The sequence below is a fragment of the Homo sapiens genome, chromosome 12 (assembly GCF_000001405.40).
Source record: "Homo sapiens chromosome 12, GRCh38.p14 Primary Assembly".
NCBI classification, from domain to species: Eukaryota; Metazoa; Chordata; class Mammalia; order Primates; family Hominidae; genus Homo; species Homo sapiens.
In genome coordinates this window covers 91,707,990-91,718,211 of record NC_000012.12, presented here as the reverse complement: position 1 = coordinate 91,718,211, position 10,222 = coordinate 91,707,990, and positions in this window count along the sequence as shown.

Below are 10,222 nucleotides of genomic sequence, written 5' to 3'. Positions count from 1 at the left end.
ATTGCCACATTCATGAATCATTCGTTTATTTTTTAATTCTCCTAACAAGCATTTGTTTAGCAATTAGTATGTACTCGATTCTATTTTAAAATGAGCAGATATAGAGATTCATAGTTATTAAAGGAAAAAGTAGCCCCAGAAGCTTAGAAAAGATGAGGTTCCATGGTAAGCTTGAGTGAGTGTCTAACTGAAGTTAGATACCTTTAATTTGAGTCATGCCAACTTGTAGGATTAGTTGGAAAGTGATTTATTCTAGCAGCATTACTCAATTATCTTTAGGAGATCATTAGTTATAATGGGCATATGAGAGATATAAGATCTAAATTGGATGCAAAACGCTGTGGCAATGCAATTCTAATCATCAACTTCCCTTGTCATTGAGGCCAAAGTCATAGGCTTGATTTTTGTGGATCTAGATACTATAACAATGGTATTAATAATATTACTTATTGTAAACTTAATTATGCCATGAGTTTTATACTTTTATTATTCAGCCATCATTTTACTAAATTCTTGAGACAAATCAGGAAAAAACATCTTTGTCTTCAAGATGCTAAGGCAGGAGTCTCACAGCTACAATGGAGTGTGATAAATGCTATGAATCAGTGGTATGGAAGAACATATGAATGGGAATCAGCCTAGTCTCCAAGGGGTTAGGTGGAAGACTTTACATATTGTGTGTCTTGACTGCTTAAACTCTTTTACAGTAGATATGACAATCTGCATCATGCAGACAAAGAAAATGAGGCTAGAAATGATAAGTGATGAGACCAAGGTCACACTGTAGAAATTGCAAGAGCTGAAGTTTTAATTTCTGCTTCCAAAGCTCTTGCTTTTTCTGCTGCAGCAGACCAACCACTTTCTCATTCCCAGATGATTGCTTGCTGGTGGTTATGGGGAAAATGATTGAGAGAATGTGGACAGATCACTAGAAAGCAGAGAAACACTGACAACAACAACAAATACCCCCATACACAGAGACATATACACAAATATACAAACACATACATATACATATATATTCACACATACACACACATATACTTTTTTTTGAATCAGTGGACTCATCCTTATGCAAAAGCAGCTGCGTAATATAAGAGGAAGAGAAAGGCTTTTGGAGTAAGATGACAGGATTTAAATTTCATTTCTAATGCATGCAAAGTGAGACTGGGCACCATATCTTTTAGATCACATTAATTGTGACAATATTTACTATTCCTATATATTGAATAGTACACATTCAATAATGCACTTGCAACCCACTGTAAGCTTTGAGCATTCTACAAATACCAATAGTTTATTTTAAAGATGGTGATTTGTATGCAATTCTCTGATGCTAACGCTAATCTACCAGCCACTATGCCCAGAGTCTAGGCTCAGTAAATTTGAGGGAGCAGTAGATATAATAAAAAAAATTAACTGAATAATTCCATCTCTCTTTTCATAGTAACTTTGGAGCTTCATTTTTACAGTAATGTGTGAATTCATCTGGATAGATAACCTCTTTTTATGCAGAAAACCTGCCCTAGCTTGCAAGATGCAATGCTCATTTTTTTCAGACCTCATTTTACCTATCCTCATCTTTGAAACATGATCAATCCCCGACAGGAAATGTATTTTCTGCATATTCCTACCTTTATAGAAACTCCTCTCTTAGTGCTTCCTCATCATTTCCCTGTCTCTTAAAGGCTACAGTGCCCCTGGGATCCAGCCATGGATATCTTCTCAATCTACATTCACCCCCCTGGTGATCTCATCCACTCTCATGACTTTCAATGCCATTTAGATTCTAAACATTTATTTTTCCTGCCTAGACTTTTTTTCTCAGCTCTAGACTTATATATCTGCCTATCTGTTTGTTATCTTCACTTGGATATCAAATAAGCATCACAAATTCAGCATGATCAAAACTGAACTAATAATATTACTACTGTCCAATCCTGTGTGCCCCTGGATTTTTCCTCATTTAAGTTAATGGGACTCTATTTTTCTTAGTTGCTTAGGCTATTATCTTTTGTGTAATTCGTGACCCATTTCTTTCCCATGAATGCCATGTGTGGCCCATTGGTGCATTTGTTTGACTCTACTTTCATAAATAGAGCATTTCTTAACTCTAACGCTGCCTGCAGAGCTATCATCACCTTGCATCTGGGTTATGCAAGAGCCTTCTACCTGCTTTCCTTGCTTCTACCCTTGTTCTGAGCTATGGTCTATTCTCAATATGGCAGGCAAAGCAATTGTTTTAAAATGTAAATCAGATCATGTCATTTCTTTGCACGAAATTTTTCAATGAAGTCCTACTTACAACCTACACCATCCTTATCATTTGCAGCACGCTACCTCCCTCCTCCATCTCTCTGACCCCCTTTTCTTCTGTCTCAAGTTGTTCCAGCTCCACTAATCCCCTTGCTGCTCCTTGAAGGCCCAGGCACACTCCTGAGAGGCCTTTGTACTTACTGTTTTCTCTGCCTGAAATCATTTCCCCCAAACACTTGAACACCCAGATCCCTCACTTCATGTGCTTACCAAAATGCACCTTCTCTGTGAGACTGTGTTAGGCCATTCTCCCTAAAACTATATTACGTCTTCATTTCATATTTCCTTTCCTGTTCGGTGTCTTCTCATTGGCATTTATCACCATCTAACATAGTTTATATTTTACTAATTTTTCGTATGTCTTAGCTCTCTTTCCCATTTATGAAAAATAAGTTCTAAGAGTCAAAGTGTGTCCTAAATTTGAATTATCTAGCTAAGTATCTCAGACATTGATTTTGTTTATATAGGCAGAGTCTGAAGATAATTTGCATTAGAAAAATGCCTTTATTCATTCTTTAAATCAAGGGCTATGGGAATGTTAGAGAAATTTGGATAATCCAAAGACAAAATTAGTTTGCCATAGGTGCAGGTAGTAGAGAAATATCACAGGCCTAAGTGGTTTTAAAACATTCTCCCCAAGACTGCCCTACTCTATTGGTGGGGAAAACAAAGCATCATCAGAGTTTATTGCTGCCACAATGTGAAGTGGAATTTCAACATAATTATTCAGCTGTAGCTTTAGTGCAATTTTCTTAGTAGACAAGAAATGCAGCAGTTCTGGCAAAATTATTTCACATTCTTTGTGTAGCCATAAAGGTCTGCATTTTCAAGTTGAAATTAATAAAATGAATAGAGCTGTGTTTTCACCCAGAAGTCAATACCATCACAAGCCAGTACCATCCTCAAAAAAAAACCCCAAGAAATATTAAGTTTTTTGAGACAGGGTCTTGCTCTGTCACCCAGGCTGCAGTGCAGTAGTGCAATCTCTGCTCACTGGAACCTCCACCTCCCAGGTTCAAGCAATTCTCCTGTCTCAGCCCTGAAAGTAGCTGGGATTACAGGTGCTGCCACCACACCTGGCTAATTTTGTATTTTTAGTAGAGACAGGGTTTTGCCATGTTGCCTGGGCTGGTCTCGAACTCCTGAGTTCAAGTGATCCGCCTGCCTTGGCCTCCCAAACTTCTGGGATTACAGGTGTGAGCCACAGTGCCCAGCTGAAAATATTAAATTATTTCAACATGTCCTTAAGATAATTAAATAGCAAACTTATCCGAATAAGTGGGAAACCACTGAAAGAACTCTTCAGGACTTATCATTTGTCATCAAATTCTACAGTATCATGCTATACCTACTAAATGTTTGCCTTGACTTGTTTGTTAATATATTATAAGCTTACAGAGGGTAAAACCCGCAAACGCAGGGAATGGGTTACTTTGTTCATTGCTGCTAGTATCTACACTTAGTCACCTAACATGTTAGAGGAGCAAGGAGAAAGCAAAGAACAAGTTAGAGCTGGGATAAAATTTAGGAAGCATGGATTTTCCCACATCCTGTGGCAACCTGTGGATTTTCTCAGGGATCTCCGTTTAGTTGATGAAAGAGCTATTTGGTAACCCTGAGATCACCAGATTTTAGGATACATTTCTATATTAATGTATTTATTCAACAAATACGTTCTGAATTTCTTGGATGTTCTCAATATTACTCCAGGTGCTGGGAATACTGAGCTGAACAAAATGGACCAAAACTTTCCCTTTTGAAACTTATGTGGTAGAGAGACAGGTAGTCAATTAATAAGTAAATATATAGCATCACACAGTATCAGGAAAATATTATAGGTCTAAAATTTTGTGTCTCCCCCTCCCCCAAATTCATGTGCTGAAATTTAATCCACAGGTGGTAGTATTAATTAAGAGGTACCCTCATGAATGGAATCAGTACCCTTATAAAAGGACTGTGGGAGCTTGTTCACCTCTTCTGCCATGCAAGGATGCAGAGAAGGTACCATCCATGAGGAACAGGCTCTCACCAGACAACGAATCCAAATATAGACATTAGAGTCAGAGGCCTGGGTTCACTGGTGAGTATTTAGATGTGTGACCTTTGTCATTCAACCTCTTCAAGTCCGGTTTTCTCAACAACAAAATGGGGATAATACTATTTAATTTTAGTTAATCAAGTTGTAAGAATTAATGGAGATATGTACACTGTGGTTGTCATAGATTAAGAACTCAATAAAAAGAAGATTATTACGTTTATTGTTATTATTATCACCACTATAACTCATACTTTTTGGATATGCTGCTAGATAAAATCCTTTTCTTCCTTGCTTTAGAATGCATTTTTAACTCTAAACTTAAATATTTATCTTTAAACATTGTACTTTCTGAGCAAAGTTTATTTCTATAGGCTGTCTAATGAGGCCAACAGAATATAAACAGAAGGCCCTATTCAGTCGTAGCCAACATGTATAAAGAGTCACAAAGGTGGGTGTGGGAGTCTTCCTGCGTTGGAAATGGGAATTCACGTGTTTGCAGAAATCCAGTTTACTACGCACCTGTGTGAGTATGATTTTCATCTTCTTTGTGTCTTTCTGATGTATATTACAGAAGGAGAAAAAACAGCAGAGGGGTAGCAGAGAAATTATAAGAGAATATGAAACATGTCTTCTGATTAAGTTTCAGAAGGAGATTGTGAAACAGTCATTCAAGAGAAAGAGCAAAGATACAGAGAAGTTATCTCTAAAGGTTTGTCCTTACACTGTAGTGAAGCTTCTGAAATGGAGCTGAAGATGTGAGGATATGGAAGACTTCTTTTAAAATACAAGACAACAATTTGGAGTGAAGATGAAGGAATGACTATATAATGTTAATTTGAAGAAATGAGGTTTAGTCTAGTGGTATTTTACAATATAAGCCCACTCTTAAATTAAAAATAGATATTCAGGGCCGGGCACGGTGGCTCACGCCTATAATCCCAGCACTTTGGGAGGCCAAGACAGGCGGATCACAAGGACAGGAGATCGAGACCATCCTGGCTAACACAGTGAAACTCCGTCTCTACTAAAAATACAAAAAATCAGCTGGGCGTGGTGGCGGGCGCCTGTAGTCCCAGCTACTCAGGAGGCTGAGGCAGGAGAATGGCGTGAACCTGGGAGGCAGAGCTTGCAGTGAGCCGAGATGGTGCCACTGCACTCCAGCCTGGGCGACAGAGTGAGACTCCGTCTCAAAAAAATAAAAATAAAAAAATAAATAGATATTGATATTCAGTCTAGTGGTAAAGGATTAATCTTAATATTTTAGTTTGAAAAAATAAATTATTGAGTTGAGTAAGCCAAGGTTTCTTAGGAATTGTCTCAGTGAGACTCGGTCACTCTAACTGGACAGGGCAGATAGATCACCTTGTATATAACTAGTACAGAAAATTTACAAGAAAAGTGATCCTAAGGAAGTTGCAGACAGTGGCAGTTCATCTTGTGGGGCAAAGCTCAATGACAAAAGTCTGATTCCAAAAATGTAAGCAGGATGGATTCTATGAGATTTGCTATTTTAAAATGATTTCAAGTTCTATTTAAATATTGTAAAATTTAGTAAAATTTATTATACACTAACCATTTGTTAAACAGAGGTATACACAGATGAGAAACAACTGTACCTGTCCAAAAGAGACTCCTCGTAAATAAATAACACAATCAGAAATATGAAGTTTACCCTTTGTATCTTCAGACCACGTCCTAGAAATTACCAATGCTACCTTTCTAAAACTTGGCAACCCCTGCCTTTTTTTGTTGCAATCCTAGGGGTTGCAATCCTAGTCTCTGATAAAACAGACTTTAAACCAACAAAGATCAAAAGAGACAAAGAAGGCCATTACATAATTGTCAAGGGATCAATTCAACAAGAAGAGCTAACTATCCTAAATATATATGCACCCAATACAGGAGCACCCAGATTCATAAAGCAAGTCCTGAGTAACCTACAAAGAGACTTAGACTCCCACACATTAATAATGGGAGACTTTAACACCCCACTGTCAACATTAGACAGATCAACGAGACAGAAAGTCAACAAGGATACCCAGGAATTGAACTCAGCTCTGCACCAAGCGGACCTAATAGACATCTACAGAAGTCTCCACCCCAAATCAACAGAATATACATTTTTTTCAGCACCGCACCACACCTATTCCAAAATTGACCACATACTTGGAAGTAAAGCTCTCCTCAGCAAACGTAAAAGAATAGAAATTATAACAAACTATCTCTCAGACCACAGTGCAATCAAACTAGAACTCAGGATTAAGAATCTCACTCAAAACTGCTCAACATGGAAACTGAACAATCTGCTCCTGAATGACTACTGGGTACATAACGAAATGAAGGCAGAAATAAAGATGTTCTTTGAAACCAATGAGAACAAAGACACAACATACCAGAATCTCTGGGATGCATTCAAAGCAGTGTATAGAGGGAAATTTATAGCACTAAATGCCCGCAAGAGAAAGCAGGAAAGATCCAAAATTGACACCCTAACATCACAATTAAAAGAACTAGAAAAGCAAGAGCAAACACATTCAAAAGCTAGCAGAAGGCAAGAAATAACTAAAATCAGAGCAGAACTGAAGGAAATAGAGACACAAAAAAACACTTCAAAAAATTAATCAATCCAGGAGCTGTTTTTTTGAAAGGATCAACAAAATTGATAAACCGCTAGCAAGACTAATAAAGAAAAAAAGAGAGAAGAATCAAATAGACGAAATAAAGAATGATAAAGGGGATATCACCACCGATCCCACAGAAATACAAACTACGATCAGAGAATACTACAAATATCTCTACTCAAATAAACTAGAAAATCTAGAAGAAATGGATAAATTCCTCGACACATACACTCTCCCAAGACTAAACCAGGAAGAAGTTGAATCTCTGAATAGACCAATAACAGGATCTGAAATTGTGGCAATAATCAATAGCTTACCAACCAAAAAGAGTCCAGGACCAGATGCATTCACAGCCAAATTCTACCAGAGGTACAAGGAGGAACTGGTATCATTCCTTCTGAAACTATTCCAATCAATAGAAAAAGAGGGAATCCTCCCTAACTCATTTTATGAGGCCAGCATCATCCTGATACCAAAGCCGGGCAGAGACACAACCAAAAAAGAGAATTTTAGACCAATATCCTTGATGAACATTGATGCAGAAATCCTCAATAAAATACTGGCAAACCGAATCCAGCAGCACATCAAAAAGCTTATCCACCATGATCAAGTGGGCTTCATCCCTGGGATGCAAGGCTGGTTCAATATACGAAAATCAATAAATGTAATCCAGCATATAAACAGAACCAAAGACAAAAAACACATGATTATCTCAATAGATGCAGAAAAGGCCTTTGACAAAATTCAACAACCCTTCATGCTAAAAACTCTCAATAAATTAGGTATTGATGGGACGTATTTCAAAATAATAAGAGCTATCTATGACAAACCCACAGCCAGTATCATACTGAATGGGCAAAAACTGGAAGCATTCCCTTTGAAAACTGGCACAAGACAGGGATGCCCTCTCTCACCACTCCTATTCAACATGGTGTTGGAAGTTCTGGCCAGGGCAATTAGGCAGGAGAAGGAAATAAAGGGTATTCAATTAGGAAAAGAGGAAGTCAAATTGTCCCTCTGCAGACGACATGATTGTATATCTAGAAAACTCCATTGTCTCAGCCCAAAATCTCCTTAAGCTGATAAGCAACTTCAGCAAAGTCTCAGGATACAAAATCAATGTGCAAAAATCACAAGCATTCTTATACACCAACAACAGACAAACAGAGAGCCAAATCATGAGTGAATTCCCATTCACAATTGCTTCAAAGAGAATAAAATACCTAGGAATCCAACTTACAAGGGATGTGAAGGACCTCTTCAAGGAGAACTACAAACCACTGCTCAAGGAAATAAAAGAGGATACAAACAAATGGAAGAACATTCCATGCTCATGGGTAGGAAGAATCAATATCGTGAAAATGGCCATACTGCCCAAGGTAATTTATAGATTCAATGCCATCCCCATCAAGCTACCAATGACTTTCTTCACAGAATTGGAAAAAAGTACTTTAAAGTTCATAGGGAACCAAAAAAGAGCCCACATCGCCAAGTCAATCCTAAGTCAAAAGAACAAAGCTGGAGGCATCACACTACCTGACTTCAAACTATACTACAAGGCTACAGTAACCAAAACAGCATGGTACTGGTACCAAAACAGAGATATAGATCAATGGAACAGAACAGAGCCCTCAGGAATAACATCACATATCTACAACTATCTGATCTTTGACAAACCTGAGAAAAACAAGCAATGGGGAAAGGATTCCCTATTTAATAAATGGTGCTGGGAAAACTGGCGAGCCGTATGTAGAAAGCTGAAACTGGATCCCTTCCTTACACCTTATACAAAAATCAATTCAAGATGGATTAAAGACTTAAACATTAGACCTAAAACCATAAAAACCCTAGAAGAAAACCTAGGCAATACCATTCAGGACATAGGCATGGGCAAGGACTTCATGTCTAAAACACCAAAAGCAATGGCAACTAAAGCCAAAATTGACAAATGGGATCTAATTAAACTAAAGAGCTTCTGCACAGCAAAAGAAACTACCATCAGAGTGAACAGGCAACCTACAAAATGGAAGAAAATTTTCGTAACCTACTCATCTGACAAAGGGCTAATATCCAGAATCTACAATGAACTCAAACAAATTTACAAAAAACAAACAACCCCATCAAAAAGTGGGTGAAGGACATGAACAGACACTTCTCAAAAGAAGACATTCATGCAGCCAAAAAACACATGAAAAAATGCTCATCATCACTGGCCATCAGAGAAATGCAAATCAAAACCACAATGAGATACCATCTCACACCAGTTAGAATGGCAATCATTAAAAAGTCAGGAAACAACAGGTGCTGGAGAGGATGTGGAGAAATAGGAACACTTTTACACTGTTGGTGGGACTGTAAACTAGTTCAACCATTGTGGAAGTCAGTGTGGCGATTCCTCAGGGATCTAGAACTAGAAATACCATTTGACCCAGCCATCCCATTACTGGGTATATACCCAAAGGACTATAAATCATGCTGCTATAAAGACACATGCACACGTATGTTTACTGCGGCATTATTCACAATAGCAAAGACTTGAAACCAACCCACATGTCCAACAATGATAGACTGGATTAAGAAAATGTGGCGCATATACACCATGGAATACTATGCAGCCATAAAAAATGATGAGTTCACGTCCTTTGTAGGGACATGGATGAAATTGGAAATCATCATTCTCAGTAAAGTATCCCAAGAACAAAAAACCAAACACCGCATGTTCTCACTCATAGGTGGGAATTGAACAATGAGAACACATGGACACAGGAAGGGGAACATCATACTCTGGGGCCTGTTGTGGGGTGGGGGGAGGAGGGAGGGATAGCATTGGGAGATATACCTAATGCTAGATGACGAGTTAGTGGGTGCAGTGAACCAGCATGGCACATGCATACATATGTAACTAACCTGCACATTGTGCACATGTACCCTAAAACTTACAGTATAATAATAAAAAAAAATAAATAAAACTTGGCATAAACCTGTTTCTAACACTTTATTACATTACAGTGTACATACAATTACACAAGCCAGGTGCAATGGCTCACGCCTGTAATCCTAGCACTTTGGGAGGCCAAGGCTTGAGTCCAGGAGCTTGAGATCAACCTGTGCAAGTGTGTGTACATTTATATACAATATATTATTGTGTTCATGATGTCTAATGATAACTTTAAAAGCCCCTCTAGGAAAAGGACACATTTGGTTCTGAATCCTGGTGCTAAAACTTATTAGTCATGTGATATTGGGT